At 36.3% G+C, this 25,293-nt stretch overlaps 1 protein-coding gene across 2 annotated transcripts in view, besides 1 other annotated feature; it reads left to right on the forward strand.

Moving 5' to 3' along the window:
- The window catches only part of PLEKHA3 (pleckstrin homology domain containing A3), a 36,007-nt gene extending 12,666 nt beyond the window's left edge, over positions 1-23,341 (forward strand). For both annotated transcript variants that reach the window (NM_019091.4, XM_047445577.1), the window contains exons 4-8: positions 731-867; positions 2,374-2,538; positions 6,089-6,132; positions 7,939-8,054; positions 10,638-23,341. In NM_019091.4, coding sequence (NP_061964.3) covers positions 731-867; positions 2,374-2,538; positions 6,089-6,132; positions 7,939-8,054; positions 10,638-10,765 — 590 coding nt within the window. In that variant the 3' untranslated portion in view covers positions 10,766-23,341. The remainder of the gene's footprint in view (positions 1-730; positions 868-2,373; positions 2,539-6,088; positions 6,133-7,938; positions 8,055-10,637) is intronic.
- Positions 21,746-21,815: a silencer, noted in NCBI's record as "silent region_12151". NCBI's record gives its function as "represses an Ori minimal core promoter by ATAC-STARR-seq in GM12878 lymphoblastoid cells {active_cell/tissue: GM12878}" and the evidence as "EXISTENCE:reporter gene assay evidence [ECO:0000049][PMID:35858748]".

Below are 25,293 nucleotides of genomic sequence, written 5' to 3' on the forward strand. Positions count from 1 at the left end.
TTTCCTCCTCTGTAGCTTATACTTCTAGTTTAAAAGGTATTGGCTTGTGAGTGGCTGAGATTATGGCTGGATGTTTAGTTTGTCTGGACATACTAAGGAAGAAAGTATGCTCTTAATAAAAAATTTTGAAAATAGTATAATGTGAGAATGAAACTGAAAGAAACAGAAGAAAATAAATGAATGTTTATAAACAATAGTTTTAATTACATAAAAATTTAAAACTTCTGTAAGCCAAAATAAAGAAAACTGAAAGGAAGCTAACAGATCTGGATAAGGTATTTGCAGTATATAAGATAGAGGAAAGATTACTATCTTTAATTTGTAAGAACTTTTACAAACTATCAGTTTATATTGTTAAGAGAAAAACCAACATCAGAACTGGAAAAAATGTATAAAGGACAAAATAAAAAAGCAATTCACAAAAGAAAACCAAGCACTTTTTAAATGGAAGATGAGTAATGGAATGGAAATATCCTGTATAAAACATCCAGTGGTCATCATCCTATCTCTGGAAATCACCTAAACATGGCAGGCATATAACTGTCAGCTTTTTCCCAATTATCTGAAGAGAAGATGTTTCCTTAGGGCTCTTGTATCCTGTTTCCAAGGTCTCACATTTCTTGAGCTATAGGTATTTATATTCATTGCTTTTTTAAATGATTACATTTTGTTACATTGCTCAAAGAATATGAAAATGATCTAACTGTATATTTATGTATATTCTTTTCAGAAATAAGTGAAACCAGTGAATCGCTGAAAACCAAAATGTCTGAACTTCGCCTCTACTGTGACCTCTTAATGCAGCAAGTTCATACAATACAGGAATTTGTTCACCATGATGAGAATCATTCATCTCCTAGTGCAGAGGTAGAGCGAAGAGGATCTCTTCACGTGTGGTTATGCTTTGGAGTACTCTGGGGGGATCCTCAGTCATTCCATAAGATGACAGGCATTTTCACATTGAGTTATTTTCAGCTTTTCTGGGTTCTGCCTACTGTATACTATCTGGAAATCTGTAGCATCTTCTCGATTGTGTCTGTGTGGCCAGAGAAGAACATGAAGTAGCATATTTCTCCAGGGGTCAAGGCTTGTCTTTGCAGCCAGTCTGATAATTTGGAGGTTGGAGTGGGGAAGAAGCATTCCAGGCTTTGTTCTCCAGGCTAGCGGCATAAATTCACTGGACAGCTGCTATTCTCTTTTTTTGGTAATAAGGTCCCTGCTTCAACTATGAGAGTTGATAACTTATCTTTATGAAATAACTTAAAACAAATCCTTCTCAGAACAGTGACTTAGGAATCAAAACTCAGATTAGTAGGATCGGGCTATAATAGGCTCATTCTTCATGGTAAAATAGGACCAGTGAGCTATACCACTCTCTGGGTGAAAGGCCAGCATGTTGCCTGTCCCTTTTTGCCTAACTTGGTAGAAGTGGGGCAAGAAATCTTCCTATTTCTTCTGTGGCCTTCTCCTGTTGGGGAGGAATCTTGTGTAAGAAGCCCAAGGACAAACTGACCACAAGCTCCCTGGAGGTAGTTGACCTCACACTTGCTACAGCAGCTCAGTGACAGTATTAGGGACCCAGGCTTGTTCCATCCTTCCACTCTGCCATTCTTGGTGTGTTGAGTTTTTCTCCTAATGCCCCAGGTGTCAAGATGACTGTCAAGCTCACAAAGAGGCAGGAGGCAGTGGGGTTGCCAGGGTAGAGAGAGTCCTTCTCAACTTGCTGTGCTTGGTTTTGAATCGGGAAACAAAAATCCCAGAAATTCCCTAGCCAACTTCTCATCTTTTTTTTTTTTTTTTTTTTCCGGCTCAAAGGAAACTAGGAAAAAATGAGCATTTAGTAAAGAGTGTTGGAATAGCCATGACTAGGTTAGATCAGTCTCTATTCATCCCCCAGGATCAGGGCACTTTGCGATCCTGAACAAAATTGGGCTTTTTACTCTATCAAGGAAGAAGTGGGAGAATGGATAGAGGGTAGGCATGAATTGTACTGCCACTAATTAACTCTAAGGGTATTCCATGTCTGTGTCCACTTTTGGGAAAGTGAAAATTACTGTTTAGGTTAGATTTCTCTAAGATAAACTTTTGTACACAGTTTTTCAATATGATAATTAAATGCAAAGCTTATTTTTTCTTAGAATCTAGTTTCATACATTGTTTAGGAGACAGGCATTTCTTATACATAGATGTTTTAATGTTTTCTTTTTTCTTTTTTTGCCCCAGCTTAATTTTCTAAGGTACTGTATTTTAAATAAATTTGAACATAACATAGTAATGTGTCTGTTGGAGATGTCTTATTATTTAATGATAAGGTTGTATATGATTCCATGTAGTTGTATGCAAATCTGTTCAAGTCTTTGTGTAATTTTTCAGAACATGAATGAAGCCTCTTCTCTGCTTAGTGCCACGTGTAACACATTCATCACAACGCTTGAGGAATGTGTGAAGATAGCCAATGCCAAGTTTAAACCTGAGATGTTTCAACTGCACCATCCGGATCCCTTAGTTTCTCCTGTGTCACCTTCTCCTGTTCAAATGGTTTGAACTTCTTGTTTTGGTTTTTTCCCTCAGTAGTAATGTTGCATGTGGTTTTCGTTTCATTTTGGTATTTATTTTTAAGGGTGGAAGCAGGCAGTTGGGGGGCGGGGAACAGCTAACAAGTTGAATTTTTTTGTTTGTACTGTTTCATATTCGAGCTTCTTAGCTGATGAGCTGAGCACTTGTGCTAGTGTCCTCATTCCCTTCTCCTTGGAGGGGCTGTGCATGGCCTGCCCACAGGCTGCTTCATCCATTTTCCCCAGTGTCTAGGAAAATATTACAAAGTGCTGTGACAAAGAAAAAGTTGGGGAGCTCTATTCTGCTTGGTAAGAATTACACAATGGAATGAGATTTTAGTCACAATGGGGTACAATTACGTATATCTTTAAAGGAGTTAGAAGGAATTTGAAACATATTCCGGTGGGAACGGTATTCTCTACTAAGCATTTGGATCTGAACCCTCAGAGTAGCTGATCTTCAGTTTCTTCATGTGTAAAAATACAGTGTATATCAGAGAGTCACTGCAAACGATCTGACCTGCTTACTGTTAGGTGCTCAGTGTTAGTTTCTTACTTCCTTATTGCTCAGAACAAGTCCTCTTTTTGCCAGGGGTGGCAGATTCGTTGTCCTTTCTGAGCTAATAAATTTGCTCTAGCATGCTGTTAGAAATTTGTAGGTGAGATAAGCTTTAATGAGACTTCAAGTTTATTGCATCAAAGTGTTTTTAGGAGTCCATTTATAGGAGTAAGAATGCCACCTTGTTGCTGTTTCAGCAATTACCTGAAGATCTATTTGTTAGGAGAATAGGGTCTAACTTCTTCCTAGGTTCTCTTACCTATCCCAGCAAATTTAGTTATGAGATTTAGTAAAGATTATTGCCTAGATTTATTTAGAGAATTGTTTTCTAATCAGTATTTGATGGGCTAATAGTTTCCTCTGAGGCAAGCGTACCATGAAAATGAGTTTTATGGCCAGATTAATTTGGGAATTGCTAGGTTAACTTAAATGATATGAATTGGGTTTGATGGGACTTGTCACAGCCTTTTTACTTATTTATTTATTTATTTTTTTAGAGACAGGGTCTCACTCTGTTACCCAGGCTGGAGTGCAGTGACACCATCATAACTCACTGCAGCCTCAAACTCCCAAGTTCCAGCCTCCTGAGTAGCTGGGACTACAGGTGCACACCACGGTGCCTGGCTATGTTTTTTAATTTATTATTTGTAGAGATGGGGGGGGTCTCATTTTGTTGCCCAAGCTGGTCTCAAACTCCTGGCTTCAAGCTAAGTTTTTAAATTTATTTTTTGTAGAGATGGAGTCTCATTTTGTTGCCCAGGCTGGTCTCAAACTCCTAGCTTCAAGCAGTCCTCCTGCTTCAGCCTCCCAAAGTGTTGGGATTACAGGCATAAGCCACCATGCCCAGCCGTCACACCCTCTTTTATGCTGAAGTGTATTATGAATCTCTGAGAGGTGGAAGTGTAGTGTACAGTGTTGCTGAAATTTATTTGACAATTGAGCCCGTTATATATATACACAAATAAAATAAATATATATATAAATACTATATATGTATATATTTTCTTTTTTTGAAATGGAGTCTTGCTCTGTCGCCCAGGCTGGAGTGCAGTGGCGCAATCTCAGCTCACTGCAAGCTCCGCCTCCTGGGTTCATGCCATTCTCCTGCCTCAGCCTCCTGAGCAGATGGGACCACAGGCGCCTGCCACCATGCCCAGCTAATTTTTTGTATTTTTAGTAGAGACGGGGTTTCACCATGTTAGCCAGGATGGTCTCGATCTCCTGACCTCGTGATCTGCCCGCCTTAGTCTTCCAAAGTGTTGGGATTACAGGCGTGAGACACTGCGCCTGGCCCATTTTATGTATTTTTTAATACCATCTTACAGGACTGTGGTGTGGTGTTGAGTAAAACATAGTTTGACAATGTTGCTTTTTAGGACAATTGTAGATATGCTATAAACTGTTAATTAACAAGTATGTGTGAACAAAGAAACCAGTGTTTTGAGATGGATGTGTAGTGCTGTGTTCCTGAGGTTGATAGACAAAGGGTACACTTTTTTTTTTTAAGCTGTACTTTTTAGAGTCAAATGCAGTAAAACACCTCAGAGTTGCCTTGCTTCTGCATTGAACTTCTCAGGAAATCCCTTATGTTACAAATGCTCTGTAGTCCAGAGAAGTCAATGCGTATTTTACATATAAGAAACTAAAATAATTATTAGTTCTAGAGACAAATAGCATGGAAAGTAAGGTCAGACAATCTTCATGTTTTTTTTTTAAATAACATTGTTTATTTATTTATATGAAAAACTTACATTTATTTATATGAAAAATAAAGCTGAAAATTTGAGTATTCCAAAACAATTTAATCTGATCTTTGTAAGTGCTTTAATCTGATCTTTATAAGCACTTTATATAGTTAATCTCAATGAATTCATCTTAGAGTAAACTTGCATTTAACTTTATTTCAAGTTGTCATAAAAGTTCAGACAACCATCACTGGACCTACAGATTGAGTGATTATTATAGTGGGGATGTCCTTGGGTTAGTAAGCCTAAAGGAAGTAATTTCTGTTAAAGGAGATGTTAGTGGCCATTTGCATCTTAATGTCAATCTTATCAGATGTTCCCAGACTACAAACTGGGTGGGTCATATCTCTTAGCATTTCAACTGGTATTTCTCAGAGCAACTAGTGGCTCATGTTCCAAATATAGAAGGCATTTGCATAACATCAATGTTAGACCTGGGCTTGTTAGACTCTTGGGCTCATGTATACAAAAGCAACCACCCTAAACCTTTAGTATAATCTTTGTTTTTCTGCTACCATGTTAAACTTTGAAATAATCAGTTTTACTTGGCTGCCTCCCTTTATATTTTGATGGAGTAGTTGGATCTTCCAAATTATGTTTAGTATTTATCATATTTTTTAAATGTTCTGCTTAATTAGGTATTCTTTATTTTTTTAAATATATGTTTTGGAAATCCACTGAGACTTAGGGTTCTTCTTCTGAGTTCTTTAAAGTCTTGAATTATTAATGCTGTTTTCCATGAAAACCACACTTTAGAACATTTGTATATCAGCTACCTAAATAATTAATGATAAAGAGAAGCTTTGCTGCCAGACTCTACTACTGTCCTTTAAAAAAGAGATATTTATTAGAATATTTTGTGGCTTGCTAGATACTCCTTTTTTATCACATTTATATCTTATTTATAGTTATATACCCTGTTTTTTATATTTGTATACACACACATATATATGTATTATGTATAAAATTTGGTTTTCACTTTTGAAAAAAGAATCCAGCATGTTTTTGGTGTGTGTTGAAAAAGATTCCAATTAATGGTTATTAGGGAGAAAGCTTGATGTTGTACTAATTATGTTGCTTGAGTCTGTGAAAGATTAAATTTTTTTTTGCCAGTTATCTTTTTCTCTGAGTAAATTTATGTTTATTATGATAATAGTAAATTAGAGCTGCATGATTCTACTTGACATATGGATTATGCTAATTTTTTTTTTTTTTTCCAAAATTTCTAGATGAAGCGTTCTGTCAGCCACCCTGGTTCTTGCAGTTCAGAGAGGTAAAAGAACCTTTTCTTCTGACTAAGTTCTCTCAAATTATATCCATCTAGGGAAGTTCTTTGGGCCTTTAACAAGTGGTGTGGAATGTAAACTCTGTATGGGTTAGGTCTGGTTCAAAACCAGCATTTTATCTCTCAGTATTTATCTCCTAGTATTTAGTATAAGGGCCTGGCCTCAGTAGGTAGTCAGTAAAGAAAAAAATGAATGAATTAACCAGCAAGGTAAGCACGTTGCCAGCCATTTTACCTTTTTTAGATGTTTGAAATGCAGTCATATATTGAAGAATGACTTTTCCATCAATGATAGACTGCATATGTGACAGTGGCCTCATAAGATTATAATACCATATTTTTACTGTACTTTTTCCATGTTTAGGTATGTTTAGATACACAAATACCATTGTTACAGTCACCCACAACATTCAGTACAGTAACATGCAGTAGAAGTTTGTAGCCTAAGAACAATAGGCTATACCACATAGCCTACATGTGTAGTAGGCTATACTAGCTAGTTTTGTGTAAGCACGCTCTGTGATGTTTGCACAGTGACAGAATCACCTAGCGATGGATTTCTCAGAATGCATCCTTGTCATTAAGAGACGCATGACTGTATATCAAGTGATGGTTAGACAGAAGTACATTTTTGATGTGTTGAGACTCCACAGCTAGGGCTCATTTTACCTCAGCTGTTTATAGCATCATCTATTCATGCTGAGCTGTTGTTTCATTAAGAGAGAAAGATCTTGCTGAAGAGAGAAAACCACTTGATATTTTAAAGTACATATTCATATCAATACGTTTAAAAATTTTACCTTCTGGATAGATCTTACCAAAATGCTAAGTTGTTAAACTATTATTTTGTTAGGTAATAGTCCTTTAAGTTGCTATGGTTGTCTTATTTAGTTCTTTGGAAAGTGATTTAATTATAGTGACATTGGCATTTATTTCTCTATATTTGGACTGTTAAATGCTGTTTTGTCATGTTTTAATTTTTTCCCCTGATGATTGTATAATCTTTGATTAAACTGTCAAATACTCAGAGGAATCCAATGATGTATATATCCAACCTTGTCAGGGAATCAAGAGTCCCACCAACTGAATTTTCCAGAAAAATGGAAGCTTAATCAATTTTTGACCAACTTTTATTTTTATGAAAGAAATTTTTCTATCCTTTCTACCTCATAAAATAATAATTTTAAAATCTTATTTGTTTCCTGATGAATCAAGGTTGTCATTAAGTACAGTAAAGTTGGGCTGTTACAAAAATAGTAGCTGAGATGCTGTTAGGTGGTGGTGATTTGCTTCTCTGTTTAAATTTTTCAGACAGATTTTTAAAAGAGTTTTTCTAGGCCCCTTTTTGCCATCTTTATCTTCTCTTGCTGTTGTCAGTGAGTCTACCTCTAGCTCTATGAACTCCTTGCCCATCTCTTTCAGTCTGCTGGTTTTGATCAGATATGGATTGACTTAAAATACATGCATTCATGAAACCTATGACTTCTAGTTTTCAAACATTTGTAAACCGACTGATATGTCTGCTCTCTGGAGTCTCCCCTACAGAAGTCACTACTTCTTCATTGTACCCCTCTTCCTTTTAGTTCAGCTCAGAAGCCATATTCTCCAGGTTACCAGCTGTCTTCTAAATGGGTTCACTTGTTTTTGACTTCTGAGTAGAATGTTGCTAACACGGGACGTTGAGCATAAAAATAATTCTTTTTTCACTTAAAGAGAAGTCATTTAAAATTCCAGTTGAGTGTGTTTTTGTTTATGTAAGGCCTTACAATTTAATGCTTTTTACTTAATTTGCAGGAGTAGCCACTCTATAAAAGAACCAGTATCTACACTTCACCGACTCTCCCAGCGACGCCGAAGAACCTACTCAGATACAGATTCTTGTAGTGATATTCCTCTTGAAGACCCAGATAGTAAGTGACATAGATTCTGTCTCTTTCTTTGGCATATTCAGCAAAATTACTGTGGGGCTCTGTAATTTCTGGAAATGAAGTATACTGACTGAACATTGTACTTTGTTTCTTTGATTCCTTAATTCAGAGGTAAGCAAACAGCGCTCAATCAATGAAAGCTCATATATCCCCTTACAAACAGGTTTGTTACTAACTAAGGAGTGCTGAGGATTGCTTTGTAAATATCGTATCTCAGATATATATTTATAGAATATCATGATCTTTTACCACCACTAGGACTTAAAAAACATTTTAGAAGAAGGCATGAATTGTTAGCAGGATTCTAGGGGAAAATAAAGGCAAGTTCCAAGTTCATATAAAAGTCAGCATTGTTACTTTACTAAAATACCTAGAAATGGCTAAGGAAAAGAATTTTGTCTGGTAGTCACAGTGAATTATAGTAGCATTCATTCCTCTACCTTTTTCTTCCTTATTAAAGAGGCAGCATACTGTGATTGAATGTTTTTAGGAAAGGTTTTGTGATTTATGTTAAAATTTTTAAATTTTTCTCTTCAGAGAAGAAGCTTTGAAAGTGTGTCAGAATATCTAGTAAGATAGTAGTGACCATGATTTGCAGTGAACACAAATATAGTCTTATTATTACATCTCCATTAATAGACTTATACTCTCCAAGTCTCTACTATTTCTCAGGAAGCATGTGGGATAGAAACTATGTACAATTTCCAATTAAGGAACAGGTCGTGTTCCAATAGTTAGTTCATTTGTAAGTCAGTTGTTTGGAAAACAGATTTTATTTTTCTTGTGGAAATGACATGATAAGTGGTGGTTAGCTCTTTGGATAGCTAACCATTCTTTGGAAGAGCCCAGTGAATTCATAGTATGGCTGAAATGGGACAAAACAATGGTGTATTTCTAGCATTTGAGTGTATTGAAAACACTGATTAAGCTGGAGTTGTTTTATGTAACCAGAAAGTTAAACAGGTTTAGTTCATACATATGGCAATTTTAAAAAGGATTGCTGGTCATTTTTGGATTTTTAGGAGTTGATAGAATCTTTTTTTTTTTTTAATGCCCACTTTTTTTTTAAACTGAATTAATCATCTATTTATTAATATATGGCACTATTCTATGCTCATTAACATTTTGAATTTAAATTGAGATGTGGGTGGAGAAATGAAGGAAAGAAACCGGGAAGGGGAAGGGAGAAAGAAACTTTCTTGGGCCAATCAAGCAAGACCTGGAAGAGAAGAGGAGGAGAGGAGGAGGGTTAAAGAGGTTGAGTATGTGAAAAAAGTTATCTGAGGCAGGTAAGATAGACTCTGATTCTCTTTATTCTTTATGCCTTTTACACATGACTCTTAATCCAGAGTTCATGAAGGAGTTCTGTATGCTACCTTGTAGTTTTAAGTGCGACATCTTTTTTTTTTTTTAAGGGGATCATTTGTGATTACTAAAATAATTTTTTTAAAGCCATCCATTTTTCTTTAGAATTCTTTTCTTCTAGTTACTCTAGTCCTGAATATTTGAAAACAATTTTCAAAAGATCTAGGTGTACATGCTCTATTATATTTAGCATCCCCCAGTTTAACTGTTATGGACTGTAACAAAACTAGTCTCACACACACACACACGCACGCACACACACACACGCGCATACATATAGTTCACTTCTCTAGAACATCTTTAAATTAGCAAGTATAGACTAGGTCAGAAATTTTATCCTTAGATTTTTTCCTGTTTATACTAGTTTAGTGTTTCAATTAGCTGACAAAGCAAAGATTGAATTAGTGCTCTTTCCAGAAAGTATATATTTTGCAATTGGCAGTCTTAGTTGAAAGTTGTTACTCAAAAATATTCTTCTTGTGAGATGCAACTGCTTCTATTTTCTTTAACAAGCTTTTTCAAAAAGTATGAAAGTAATAAATGATGATGGTAAACTCAAACTATATATATAAAGGTACAACTGCCTTAGAACAGGACTATGCCAGTGTAGTCAGCTGTGTTAACATGGAGTTGCAGTGATAGTTCTGTGAGCTGCATTACAAATGGAGAAATGGGATCTTTCAGTATGAGGTACCTTGTCAGCTTTGCTCAGAAAGTCTTAGAATGAAAAGAGGAATACCTGAATTTAGTCCTCGTTCTGTTACCAATTGTGTGATCTTGGGTAAGGCATGTATCCTTTTATGGGTCTTGGTTTCTTTGCCTAGGAACAAGGAGGATATTAACAGCATTAAAATAGGCTGAAAAAGCAATAGTTAATTAATAAAGATTAAATTCAATTCAGCAAATATTTATTGACTACCTATTATGTGCCAACCATGATTCTAGCAGTGAACAAAACAAAAATCTCTACTTCAGGCAATTTCATCATTTATCTTATGAATTCTGATGTTTCTCCTTGTGGCTGTTGATACTCTAGTCTAAAAGTTAAGTTTTCCTGCATGAAACAAACAAGGAAATACAAAATTAGCCAGAAGCTAAAGGAATTTCATGTCCCTGAACAGGAAATTTAAAATGTTCTTTCACAGAGGACTGGAGTTAATATTGACAGGATGTTTAACGTTTTTATCAATGTCTTCATAGGACCTGTTCACTGTTCAAAAAATACACTTAATGGAGATTTGGCATCAGCAACCATTCCTGAAGAAAGCAGACTTATGGCCAAAAAACAATCTGAATCAGAAGATACTCTTCCATCCTTCTCTTCCTGAAGAAACTGAAGTGTCCAACTTCCTCTAAGTATTGCTATGCAAAAGCTGCTGTAATTAAACTATTGTTATAGGGAGTAGTTTTTTCCCTTAGGACTCTGCACTTTATAGAATGTTGTAAAACAGACAAACAAGAAAACAAACCACATACTTTTGAAGTGTATTTTATCTTTATATAGTTTGTTTGCAAGAGTATTTTCCTAATAACTTCACAGTATGAATGTGCATCTTTTTTTTTTGAACAAATGATGGTGTAACATTTTGACATCCATAAGGACAAATGTAGATATTTTTCTTAAAAACTCTGAGGGGACTGACAGCATGGTCAGGGTGTATTGTAGCTTATAAACATGAAATCTTATAAGGTTTCAGTTTGACAGAAGTGTGATATATGTAACTTGTGCCATGGACCAAATGGTCACTTTACCACAGCTAAAAATGAGTTACGATAGCAGCTTGATGGTGATTGTATTGTATTCCTTTAATCAAAAAGGAAACACAATATTCTAAGTATCTTTAGCCCAAATACCATGACATATTGAGCATCTTTAAATAACCAGACTGTATTGTCCTTCATATGTGAAGTTGACACTACTGATTTGTCAATACCAAATTTTGGGTTAAAGTGTTTAATTTTTATGTATTTATTTTCTTGTTGCCTCAAAAGATGATTGCATTCTAACTTTTGTGACCTACCAAATTTAAGATGTGTATACGTTGTTCTTTACGTTGTTCTAGAAAAGAGATTTTAATGCTGTAGTGACTTTGCTCACTTACACTAGAGAAATAAACAACTTTCAATGGAAGAGAATTTTAGTGCTTTTTTTTTCCTAAAATAGATATTAAGCTGCTGTTGTAAAGTATTGTTTGCAGCTCTTTCCAATATCTAGAGACATTTTTATTTATGAATATTTATACAAAAAGGAATTCTGTCAAGATGACTGCTCTATATCACTTGAGAATGGCATTATTTAATTAAAGAACAAATAGCATTTTTTGGTAGTGCCTGTCCATACCTATTGTCATTGTTTGCCTTGTAATCTGTTTTTTTGAATTCATTTTGGGCTGATAGTTTTGTTTAAGGTTTTGGATAAGGAGCACTTTAAAACAAACTGGTGTGTTGTTTTTAAGTTAATCATATGTTTAATAAATGCGTGGTTTTTGCATTCAAACACATCATATAATACATTGTATTTTTTACATTCATTGATATTCTGTCTAATCTTTATTAGGCACTAATATAATTCTAATGGATTTGAGTTTGTTTGTATATTTAGGCCTGCTGGTGAAGACACAAATGAAGCATAATTTTTGTTGCCTGTGAGCTTAGAATGGTGTGACCTATTTCATTTTATTTCAATTTATCTTGTAAGTTTATGTGGGATATTTTAAAATAATTAATATTTGGTATTTGTTTAAAAAACTGTAATTATAGGCCTTCCATCTTAAGTTTAAGATGGACATAAACAGTCTATACATTAATATGTGTTTGGGTAAACTGTATGCTACTTGAAGTGTTTGTAATTTTAAATAACACACAGGTCATCAGACTACTCTATATTCAGTGGAGTCTTTGCCTGCTCATAAGTTGTACTTCATATGTCTAATTTGAAAAAAAAAGTTTGATAATGTAGTAAGTTATGACGTTGAGCAGGTAATCAGGTTTTTCTTGTTTTTTTTTTTTTTTTAAATTTTGTAGTAAGAACTTGCACAGTATTAAGACCATGAAGGTCAGGGTGCTATTGATTGGGAGTTTTTTCTGGTAGTGAGTTTTTTTGCAGTAATAGGTTTATAAGGAAAACACCGTAACAAGCTTTTGAACTTATAGAAAATAATCACATCCATTTTCTATTGCTTTACCCAAATAGATGGGTTCGTGAAGAGTTTTCTGTGAATATTTTAAAAATACAATGCAATTATTTCTGGTTTGTATCATTTTTTCCCCCTTAAAACAGGTCCTTGAACAGGTTTGCGGTATCCCTAAGTATGTCTTTTGTTATGACTTGGAGCCACTTTTTGTTGTTATTGTTAGGAACCAAACACATCTGTGAAATCATTTTTTTTGTGGGAGTATAAATATATCTTGAATTATATCCAGGTTTTGATCAGTGAATTAGTAGCATGAAGAAACCTATAAAGCTTAAGGGAACCTTGCATTTTGAGGAGTCCTTTATTTTCAAGTGTGCCTGACTTTTTTGAATTTTAAGAAAAAGATGAACCATATAACAATTCTGTAAGAATTTTAGCTTGTCAAGTTGTTCTATACTTTATAGAAAAATTATTGGTTATTATTAGTTATTAGTAGTCCCTTTTTTTTGCTTTGTCTAGGTCATGGGGTTATTGAGAAACATGAAAAGTTATTGAGAAATTTGGAGGTTCTCTTGGCAGCCTATCAGTGATCTTCTAAGCAAAAGCAGTGCTTGTTTTTCATTTCAAGTGCTTGCTCACTATTCTTTGGGAATCGCAGGCCTCCATGACTAAAGGGATTTTGATACAATTCTTTTATAAATGAGCTGAATTTGAATTTTCTTACATCATATGGGATTATTGCATGATCTTCAGTCAGGAAAAATCCAGAAATGGATGCTATTGCTTAAACTTAAATTCCAAGGCAGAAGATAGAGTATCTTCATTTCCACAGATGCCCTAGAACCTTTGACCTTGAATTGTAGTTTTTCAGTATGTATTATCACATTTAGAAATGTAAAAATCACAAGATCTCAGGAAATGCGCCCTTGTGATATGTTAATACCAGATTGCTGTTTACACTAATTCCATATACATGATAATACCACTAATTTGGACTCTGCTAGTTCTTTTATTTAATAAGGCACCTCTAGGTCTGTACTTTGAGCCTTGATCTGGGTACTTGGTACAGAGGGAGTGTCCTGGCCTGAAAGAAAGCCAGATTAGGCTGCAGGAGTTCCTTTGAGGAGGTCTGTCTTTTAATAACCCTGGCGGGTAAATGAATGGTAGGTAGCTGGTAGGTAGGCCTTCTTGTTCATGTCTTTCTGTCTCCCCAATCCACTCTTTGAATTCATGTTGAATTCTTAACTTGAAATTCTGTTGTTTTTTTTTTAATTTTAGCTTTCTTTTTATTAAACTAGTTAATGTACATAGTTTGAAAAAATCAAATAGAACTAAAAGGTTTATAGTGAAAAAGTGTAGTTCCCTCTTCCCCAGTTTAGCATTCCAAAGACAAACACTTGGAACTCTTAGTGGTTTGTGTTAGTATTTACCTTCCTGTTTGAAAATGTTATACTACTTTTTGTTGACTTATCAATTTCAGAAACAGTTTCTCGAATACCTTTTATGGTAGACAGGATTTACTTTACTTAAACTCTCCACCTCCCACATTTTTCTTCCCCCACCCCTCCCAAAATAGATTTATATTCACACAACTTTTAGTTAGAACAAACTTTTTGTGAAATAGATAGACATAAATGTAGTTCACTGATGTACCACATGGTTAACTATCATTATTTCCTTTTTACTAGAATGTTATTTTTTCTGGGGTTGGTATTGCCTGATTTTCAAATTTGCTTAGTTTTTAATGTACCTGTCACAATGACTATCCAAAGGCTTAAATGCTGAAAAACATCAGATAATCGTATCAATTCTCTTAAAAAAGTTTTTAAAAATATTTTGTCATCCTTTAGGGACATTTCTTCCACAGTCCTTCATCTTCTGCCATTTGTACTGTTGCCCTCCAGGCCTGTTCTATGGTTCAGCAGTCATTCTGAAACTCCCTTTAGTTTTTAGTCTCACATTAGGTTTTTTTTTTTTTTTTTTTTTTTTTTTTTTTTTTTTGGCAAAGCTCCTCCACCAGTAACTTCCTAAGAAAAGGTGCATAGAAAGTAAAGATTTTAAGGCTTTACAGGTCTGAAAATGTCTCTACTCTTGATTGGTAGTTTGGAGTCTGGAAAATAACATGCCTTCAGAATTTTAAGGGCAACATTTCATTGTCTTAAGGCATTTAGTTTTTCTGTGAGAATTCTGATACCGTTCCTTTACCTGGGATCTGTTTTTACACTCTGTAAGCTTTTAGGAACTTCTCATTACTTCTGATGTTTCATAATAATATGTGGGTCTTTATTCATTCATCTTGATGGCTACTTGACTTGGTGGAATCTTTCAATTTAGAGATTTGTCTGCTTCAGTTCTGGGTGTGTGTGTGTGTGTGTGTGTGTGTGTGTGTGTGTGTGATCTTTTTGACAGTTTTCTCTCTTCCATTTTCTTTGTTCTATCTTTCTAGAATTTCTGTTATTTGAATGTTGGACCTCCCAGAGTTGGACCGCCTCTAAATTTAAAAAGCTTTTTCTCTCTAGTTGTTCCTTAAGTTATATTATCTTTGTTCTTTTTGTTATCCTCCAGCTCTTCTGTTGAATTTTCTTTATATATATATTTTAATTTCTAAGAGGTCTTTTTTTTCTGTTTCATTTCATAAAAACCTATTTTTATTTTATAGATTAACTGTTTCCCCATATCTCCCTGAGGATAAAATTAAGATTTTTTTCTTACATCTTTCCTGTTTCTTGAATGGTTCTCCCCCTCCCCCACCATGTTTCTGCTTTCTATTTATTTGTTTTGGGCTCTTTCATTCTGAAGCCTTTCTTAGAAATCATCTATTCATATTAGTCATGTATTAAAAAGCTAATGTCATAGGTCTTTATATGTGGGCAGGGTTTATAAGTTGTCTAAAGGGCCATCAGGTAGAGTTGGCCTTTTCTGTTGAGGTCCCCTAAATTTCAGTGGAGGTCTTCTCTTTGGGGCCAGTTTCTCTAGAAAACTGGGTCCTGATAGTAGGGTAAGAAAAGACAGCTGAGGACCCCAAGATTTGTATGATGACTTTTACTTAATCCCTCTATCTTCATCCTCTCTCATGCCCATCCGGCCCCACCCCCCAAATCCTCCTCTGGCTGCTGACCCTCAGGTTCAGTTTTTCCTGTCAGTGGAGGTTGAGGGTGGGGCGTAGGCTGGCTGTGGAGAGTAGGGGAGAGGACCTGGGTTCCAGTTGCTCTTTATACAGACTTCTAGTCCTGATTTCAGCCCTATACCTCACTCTCATCTTCTACAATACCTAGTGCTTCCAAGTCCTGAACTTAGTAGAGGTTTGGTGGGGTGTGTTTTTGGGCTTCTCCCTTTTGGGTACTTAGGCTTTAACTTCCTCCACTCTGCTAGGTTAGGTATTGCACTTCCTCCTGGTTTTTATCTGTATAAACTTTGTTAAAATCTCATGGCTTTGTCGTCTGTGCTTTTTTGTGGATTAATACTATTTATATTCCTTTAATATCTTTTGGTGGTTTGGAGGTAGAGGAAATAAATTCATGTGGTTGGTTTGTATGTTTCACTGAAAGTCTAGATTTAAATTCTAATAGTGTATAAAAAATAAAAATTCTTTAGTATTAATTTGTAATTCATTCTAGTGATTTTTAATTCATATGGTTTTACTGTACTACCTACCTCATAGGGTTGTGAGGATTAGAAGAATCAATTCATAAAAAGCAGTTAGAAAAGTGCTGGGCACGTAGTGTGTTGAATAAGTGTTAGTTATTAATATTGTTTACTATCATTATTATTATTACTACTATCAGTTTTTTTTTTTTTTTCTGAGACAGGGTCTCACTCTTTCACCCAGTCTTGAGTATAGTGGAGTGATCTCAGCTCACTGCAGTCTCGACCTCCCAGGCTCAAATGATCCTTTTACCTCAGCCTCCCGAATAACTAGGACTACAGGCATGCACCACTACTCCTGGCTAATTTTTGTATTTTTTTGTAGCAGCAGGGTTTTGCCATGCTGTTCAGACTGATCTCAAACTCCTGGGCTCAAGGGATCTGCCTGCCTTGACTTTCCAAAATTCTCGGATTACAGGCATGAGCCACACTGCACTCTCCTATCTCTCTCAATTCAGTAACCTGTTTATTCTTGAGTGAAAATGTTTCACCATAGGAAGAATTACTAATATATGGGAAAATCTAGTGTTTGATAATGTTGACCCTACATTTTTTTTGGACAGTCTCTGTCGCCCAGGCCGGAGTGCAGTGGCGCGATCTTGGCTCACTGCAACTTCCACTTCCTGGGTTCAAGCAATTCTCTTGTCTCAGCCTCCTAGGCTACAGGCTAGGACTACAGGTGCTCGCCACCATGCCCAGCTAATTTTTGTATTTTTAATAGAGATGGGGTTTCATCATATTAGTCAGGCTGGTCTTGAACTCCTGACCTCAGGTCATCTACCTGCCTTGGCCTCCCAAAGTGTCGGGATTACAGATGTGAGCCACCGTGCCCAGCCGACCCTGCATTTAACTAGACTTCATATGAAATGTTCAGGTGTTAGGTGTTATCTTTCTAAGAAACATTCAAGCCTTAAGAAATCCAATCAGTTATAGTTACTTTAAAAGTTTTAAAAAGAGTATAACAATTTTGATGTGCTTTTAAGCTTTATTGGTATTATATTTTGTTTTTATCATATAAATATGAAGTATAGGAGATAAGATAATGCAGATGATGTTTGTTATGCCTTACCTACCGCCAGTAGATGTAATACTCTTAATACATGGAGTACAGAAATAGTAGATTCCCTTCATTCCCAGTGCAACAGTGTTGGGAGGTGGGGCCTACCAGGAGGTGTTTAGGTCATGTGGGTACCACCCTCATGAATAGATTAATGCCGCCGTGTAAAGGGCTTGTGGGCGTGGGTGAACACTCTCCTGCTCTTCTGCCAAATGTCTCTCCCTTCCAAAGGACGTAGTGCTCTACATAGTGTTGGAAGCGAGAGACTGAGCCCTAACATGCCAGTGCCTTATCTTGGATTTCTCAGCCTCCAAAACTGTGAAAAAATAAATTTTCATTCTTTATGGTAAATTCCCATCACTGTATCCATAACCTCTTGTAAATAGTTGTACACCTTTCAGAAAATGTTGTGGACTTACATAAGCAAAATGCCTGCATTTATTTCATAGGTAAAATTTTAATCTATTTTCTAATCAAAGTGTTTTGGGGAACATTTAATTTAAATACTATGTTCAATTTTTTTAATGGTCTGCTTCAGATTTTTTTTATAAGTTAATGTTTTAAAACAAAATAATTGTGTTCTAGGTAGAAGCTACTCTGAGTTTAGGTTTTTAAATCTCTTTCAGATATTTTAAGTATCTTTTTTGTGTCTGGATTCAGAGAGGTATGATAATGAGATTCTCTTCTAGAGGGGAAGTGGGAGTAGGTAACCATACTACTCTTTCTACGGCTACAGAGCCGCATACTCGAAGGAGGGAGATTTTTATTTGTAAGGACATTTGTATTATCTTTCATTAAAGTAGAGTCCCATGGGCGTGGCAAATGGCTGTAAATAAAGTAAAAGTGGCTAAAGAAAACAGTGCCTGCTATTAGCTTGATGCTGGCATTTTCTTCTTTCCCTGGATGTGACTGTTATTGTCTTTATTGGGTCCCCTTATTATCTGCTTTGATATCCATCTCTGGAACTTTGATCTCTAATTTTTTTTTTTTTTTTTTGAGACAGAGTCTCACTCTGTAGCCCAAGTTAGAGTGCAGTGACACGATCTTGGCTCACTGCAACCTCCACCTCCGGGGCTCAAGCAATTCTCGTGACTCAACATCCCAAATAGCTGGGACTGTAGGCACGCACCACCATGCCCAGCTGATGTTTTGTATTTTTACAAAAATTTTTCACCATGTTGGCCAGGGTGGTCTCAAACTCCTAAGCTCAGGAGATCCGCCTGCCTCAGCCTTTGAAAGTGCTGGGATTACAGGCGGGAGCCACCGTGCCCGACCTGACCTCTCCATCTTTGGCGTCCTTATGCTGCCTCTTCTCCAAATACATGTTGGCCAGGGTGGTCTCAAACTCCTAAGCTCAGGAGATCCGCCTGCCTCAGCCTCTGAAAGTGCTGGGATTACAGGCGGGAGCCACCGTGCCTGACCTGACCTCTCCATCTTTGGCGTCCTTATGCTGCCTCTTCTCCAAATACAGTAACTAATCTAGTATATTTTCATAGGATAGAATTTGCCCTTTCTGTCCCATAATATGTTCCTCTTCCCCAAAAAGTTTTTTGTTGGTCTCTTTGGTAATAAAACATTTAGAGCATTTACTGTGGGCCAGGTGCTTTACCTCATGTTAGCCTTATAACAGAGATGCGGAAGTACAGGACTACCAGTGCAGCCAAGATGCACAGCACCAGGATTAACTCATGAGACTGATTAGAATGATGAATATCTTATTGTATCCTGAAACATTAAGCCTTTAAGTTATCCCTTTATTTAGTATTTAAATTCACATGCTTCTTGATTTTTTTGGACTAGCATTAGTTGTTGAATAAATAAATAATTCAGAATGTATCCACAAAACCTAGAATATATGACAGGGTGGATTCAGTTTTGCTTAGTTACTGTAGATAAACCAAATAAATTAATGTAAAGGGATATTAATGCATTAAGCAATTTTTTTTGACATAAATGAAGGGTTGTTTCCATGGGTAATATATTCAGAATATTAAAGATGAGTAAAATGTATGACTATAATGAATTCCTTCTTCACTTTTACTCTGGCAAGGTGGGAGGAGGGTGCTGTTGATAATCTCTGTGCTTTTGCAAGTTTGGCACAAAGACTTTTACTCACTTAAATCTCAATATAAAGTATATTGCCAGATCTGGCAGCATGGGGACAATTAGGAACAAAGGAGAGAGAATAGAATCAGCCATCAGGAGCTATAACCACACTCTTCTTTCTCAACCTTTTCTGGTATTAGTAGGCAGAACTCCTTTTGGATGCGGTGAAGCATTTTATGAGTGAACAATGGTGAGTCATGTAATGAAAGGAGATGTTCTAGGAAAACTTTTCAGTCCCGCTCAGTGCTGCCATCTTTTTCTCCCAGCACTCTGGACTTAAAATTCTGAGAGAACAGGGTATTTCCCACCCTTCCTCTTACTTTTTGAAAGCAATACCTGAGTTATTAAGCAATCATTTAGACAGTATGAATAAACCAAAATTCACCTTGACACTCCATCCCCTAGAGGTAACCATTCTTTTCTAGTATATATTCTTCCAGACCTTTTTCCTGTGTATTGACTTTTAAATAGATGTACATTGCAATAGTTTGGATTAGCTCATCCATAGCAGGGTGGTTAAATAAACAGTGGCACTTTTTTTTTTTTGAGACAGAGTCTCACCCTGTCGCCCAGGCTGGAGTGCAATGGCGCGATCTCGGCTCACTGCAACCTTTGCTTTCCAGGTTCAAGCGATTCTCCTGCCTCAGCCTCCCAAGTAGCTGGAATTACAGGCGAGCACCACCATGCCTGGCTAATTTTTGTATTTTTGGTAGAGACGGGGTTTTACCGTGTTGGTCAGGCTGGTCTCGAATGCCTGACCTTGTGATCTGCCTGCCTTGGCCTCCCAGTGTCAGGATCCTGGCCCCAGTGGCACATTTTTATGATGCATCTGGTACTAAAGAAGGAGCTGGCTTTATGACCTTTACTTGAGTATTTTTTTGTGTGTGACAGTTGAACAATTCTGACCCCTATTATTGTTGGCTGGACAGGCATTTTCTTTTTAATTCCTCTATGCAAGGAACTGTGGATTGCTTTTTTCTGGATAGCTAGAACGAGGCCATTTTCTTTCAAAAGACAGTCCTAGAGTTTCCAGTGGTTTTCTTTAATTGTGTATGCGTGAGTGTGACAGTGTGTGTGCCTGTGTCTCTATCTGTGCATGCATCTGTATGCACAGTTTCTTAGTTGTGGACAATGCAACTTGGAATCATTTTAGTTTTCCAATTGATTTTAAAAGTTTATCTATAGAAGATGAGACAAATTTGCTGTAGAAGTTACCACTACTTGGTCAAAATAGAGAGTTGTGGGTTTTTTTTTTTGTTTGACAACAATCAAAAGTATGGCCTACAGATAGTAAGGGTTAACCACCCAGATTTTTGTCAGATAATATATACATGTCCATGTAATTAAAAGTCTTCATTTGACAAATTTATATGGTAAATGAGCATAAAATGAATATCTTTTCAGTATTAGAACATTTCTGTTTATGCCCTATTCCAGTGGTATTTGTGGTCGCTAGGGGTTGCTGGGTTATCCAAGTGATTCAGCATGCCTTCAGAATTGGCATCCTCGGGTGATTGTCCATAGCCTCTTGCAATGGTGCCTCATCTTGGGGAGGCTTTAGAACACAGCTCTCATTTAGCTTATTATTGATTTTTTTTTCTTGTTTTGCAGTTGTTGGCTAGAGAAAAGTGTGTAGCAATAAGTACGCACACTTACTGTGGTTTACCATCATGACCATGGATAGCAAACTGCCTTTTTTTTTTTTTTTAACTCCTGTGTCATCTCTGATGTTGTGGCTAATTTTAAGACTTTGATTTTTCAGCTAGGATTAGCGGAGAATGACCTACCTACTTGATTAATGATGTCTGCATGGGCTTACTAAGAGGGTGTGGGGAATGGTGGCAGGGGTAACTATCATCGAGAATATAGGGCAATGGGTATATTCTAACTTTGCATAACTTTGCTAGATTATATATATCTTTACTCACAATAAGCAAAGTTGAACAACTTAAAATTGATTCCCTGTTTTCTGTTTTCACTATCCAACTAGGATGAACTCTTAAGTTCATACATATACTTTAAAATGGGAACAAACATAGCCTGTCATGTCTTTATTTAGGCTAAGTGCATATGTATGTATAAGTAATGTGTATATCCTTCACTTATTAATAGTGCCTTCATGAATTCAAAGACCCTTGTCACATGGTGCTCAGGAAAAAAAAAGTGCCAATATTCTTTTTTTTTTTTTCTCTAAGAAGTACTAGTTTAGGTAAGTGAAATTCAATAGCATATCAGTGCTTTACCTTAGTCACTTTTTGTGTTTTGATCACCCTTAGTCATCACTGGAGAGAAGAGTTTGAATTCATTTGTGGTTTTGCTTTAGTGGCAAACCTCCTTACAGGGATGAGTTGCCCTCCATTCTCCTTGCCATATTTGGTTAATCTAGGCCATGACCTTTGAGGGGAAAAGGCACAGATTGCAACTTTTCTTTCCTGCTTTTGTGAATCAGGCCATGTTCACGCAGGGTCCTTGAAGGTGACTTGAGTGAGGAAGCTATATACCGATGACTTACCAATTTTTGGTCTTATAACATTCTCTCTCTTTTTTTTTTTTTTTTTTTGTAGCATATGGCTTCCTCTACTGTATGTTGGCATTTGCCACTTTTGGGGATTTGACTCCTGCAGGTATTTTTTTTTTTTTCTTTTGGGGGAGTGTGACGGCAGTGGATATAGTCTTAGATGATGTTTTTAATAGTTCAAGTCCATTAGTGTCTTACTCTAGAGAAAACGAAAGACTCACTGTGTGAGTTTTCTTGCCCTCTGGTTTTCAGAATTCTGTGTAGTTTCTCAACATTTCCTTTCTACCTGTCCTGAAGAGCTCTTATGGAAATCATGGTTGAATGTTAGTAAATTTCTAAGAGCTTTCCAATGTTGTCTATAATTAGCCAAAAAAAGACATATGAACTTTTCTCATTCTGTCTACCTTTTTAAAATTTTATTCACTTTATCTTTTTCTCCAGTTTTGATAGATGATTATAGAGTTCCCCAAAATGGCCTTCTTACTATTTCTATATTAGGTATATTATTTCAGAAAAGAAAATAATCACTTGGGAATGGCGGTGAGTTCAGGGGGTCTGTTAACCATTTAATTTAGGATTGTTTATACATTTATTTACCTCTTTTAAAAAATTTCTTCAGTTAATATTCATTGACCACTCACTAAGTGTTATGTTGCTAGTATTTATCTTTGCTTTCTAATTATTTTTTTGTAATTTTTTTGCTTTCTAATTCTTGAGTGAATTTAAAACTCACTGCTTTATTATTTAATATCTTAGATACAATGACTATCTTAATTATAATTGGCTTTCCAAAATTTTCACTTTTTTTCAGTTAACTAGTTGAATAGTATTTATCATTCACATTTGCACCCTAACTATTGTTTTAACCTAAACATAAATAAGCAAGCATTAGAAAGTAGCATAATTGCTGTTAAAATAGTCTTTTCTTTGCGTGTTTAAATATTGTTAGAAACATAAGCACATGAATTTTTTTGGCCTTTTAAATGTCTTTATTGTAGCTAGTTATAAGATGTATATATAGCTTATATATGTGTATATACACATACATATATATATATACATACATATATATACATAAAATGATTCTTGCAAAAGTAGTTATGGGTATTTAAGTGAAAAATTTGTAAGTTTAGAAGTTAAGAAATTGGAAATAATGGAATTGGTTTAAAAAGCTAGTCTCTAAATTAACTTAGAAACCTAATAGCAAATACAGATTTTGATTGCTATAACTAAACACTTTAATTTTGAAAAAGTTTCAGAATAGAATTTCTATTCCCAGGGGAAAATAAACTTCATTTAAAAATATATGTATACTTATTTTGTGAGTATTTTTTTCTTTTCCAAATTCCAAAAGGTGTATACTCTATATTTTTGTCATAAAAATTCTGCTTGTCGAAAATATTGTAGTAATTTTATAAATTCAATAAAACCTGAGTGATGTGAACAGTGTGGGGGAAAATGTTTAATAAATTTGCCATGCCACTGAGAAAAACTTAAATACAGCATGTTTTGAAAGTTTGAGGAAGCGTAACACTTTGCTTTTTAAAAACGTGACTGGTTTGCTGCACATTTAAATTTAAAAGCTGGTTGGCTATTTTAAGATTAGTGCTGTGATGTGAGAAAAGATAGTAGTGATGATAGCTAACCTTTAAACGAAAGCATACAGTGCATCACCTTATTTGTTTAGATCAGGAGTTCTCCATCTTGGCTGCACATTACAAACCCCCAGGGTGCAGCCAGGCACAGTGATTCACATCTGTAATCCCAGCACTTTGGGAGGCAGAGTTGGGCGGATTGCTTGAGCTCAGGAGTTCAAAACCAGCCTGGGCAACATAGTGAAACCTCATGTCTCCAAAAAAAAAAAAAAAAAAAAAAAAGAGCTGGACGTGGACGTGGTGTTGCTTGCCTGTAGTTCCAGCTACTCGGGAGGCTGAGATGTGGGGATTGCTTGAGCCCGTGAGGTTGAGGGTGCAGTGAACTGTAATTGCACCACTGCACTCCGGCCTGGGCAACAGAGTGAGACCCTGTCTCAAAAAAAAAAAAAGAACTCCCGCCCCGCAGGGTGCATTTAAATTTCCTAGGTTCATGGGTAGGTTGACGCAGACCAATTATAGCAACACCTCTGGGGGCAAGGTGAGACCCAATCATCAGTATTTTTTGAAAGTTTTTCAGTGATTCCAATGGGTAGCCAGCTTTGCAAACCATTGAGCTGGATGGAAATTCTCAATTCTGATTGTTGCATTTTAGAAGAGGTGGGGGATGTGTGTTTCTATGTGTATATAGATAGATATAGATCTATCTCTTTTATATATCTGTCTCACTAAAGTTTGTGGCCATCGTCTAGCAGTCAGAAAGGCCAAATAGGTCCTTATTAGCATGGGCCGAGGTTCCCTTGGGGGTTGTTAGAAATGCAGAATCTCAGCATCCCCATCCCAGATCTGCTGAACTAGATTCTGCGTTTTCAAAAGTTCCTTCGGTGATTGCTACACACTTTAAAGTTTGAGAAGCACTACTGGAGGTGATATTAGGGTAAATGTAGATCTCCATACACCCTGCCTTTTGCTTCTCTCTGGTTTTCTGACTAAAGTTTTGACATTTTTATGTGGGGTTGGAAAATGAAGCTAGTACTATGTGCTCACATCAGCAGATTAATAGCTGTGGTGAGTTTCTGATCTGGAGCAGATGTGAAGGAGACGACTGCCATCACCACAAAACTCCACTCTTCCCTCAGATGGGGAAAGAGAAAACAGCTCAAAGAATGGTCACTGGGCTGAAGGCAGTGCTCTTTCAGTCTCTTCTCTCAACTACCCTGTGTGTTAAGGAAAAATAAGAAGTACAGTACTTGCAAGGATACTGCTTTATACATGCCTTTGAGAATTCTCTGGAAGAGAAAGCTACTTCCCTTTAAGTAAGAAATGTACTCATCCCAGTGTCAAACTGCAATTAATAAAGCCAAATCCTCCAAGTTCTCTGGAATAATTTCTATACAATGCCCTGCACTCAGAAACCTTTCTTATAGTGGCTACAATCCCGTATCTTAAATATTTCAAGAACTCTCAGTCTGCTTCCCTCTGTCTCAACCCCTACCAAGAAATAGGCAGATTATTTTGCTAGGATGCTTTCTTCCTGCAATGATTGAACGATTCTTTTGTGTGAATACTATAGGGTCCAGTAGTGTAGTTTCTGGGAAGCTCTCCCATTGCTGTCCCTTCACGTGACACGCTGGGTCAGGTAAGCACCCTATTTCCTGACTATATTTCAGATGCCAGTTAAGGGTTCAGCATCTCTGGCCTGAGCTTTCTGAGAAGAGGAATTCCCTACACTAGAAATGAAGGACTTTTTTTACAGGAAGCAACCTGATGGCATTTTGCTGTTGACCCTGCCCTGGAACTACAA

Source organism: Homo sapiens, chromosome 2 (genome assembly GCF_000001405.40).
Source record: "Homo sapiens chromosome 2, GRCh38.p14 Primary Assembly".
Taxonomy (NCBI): Eukaryota; Metazoa; Chordata; class Mammalia; order Primates; family Hominidae; genus Homo; species Homo sapiens.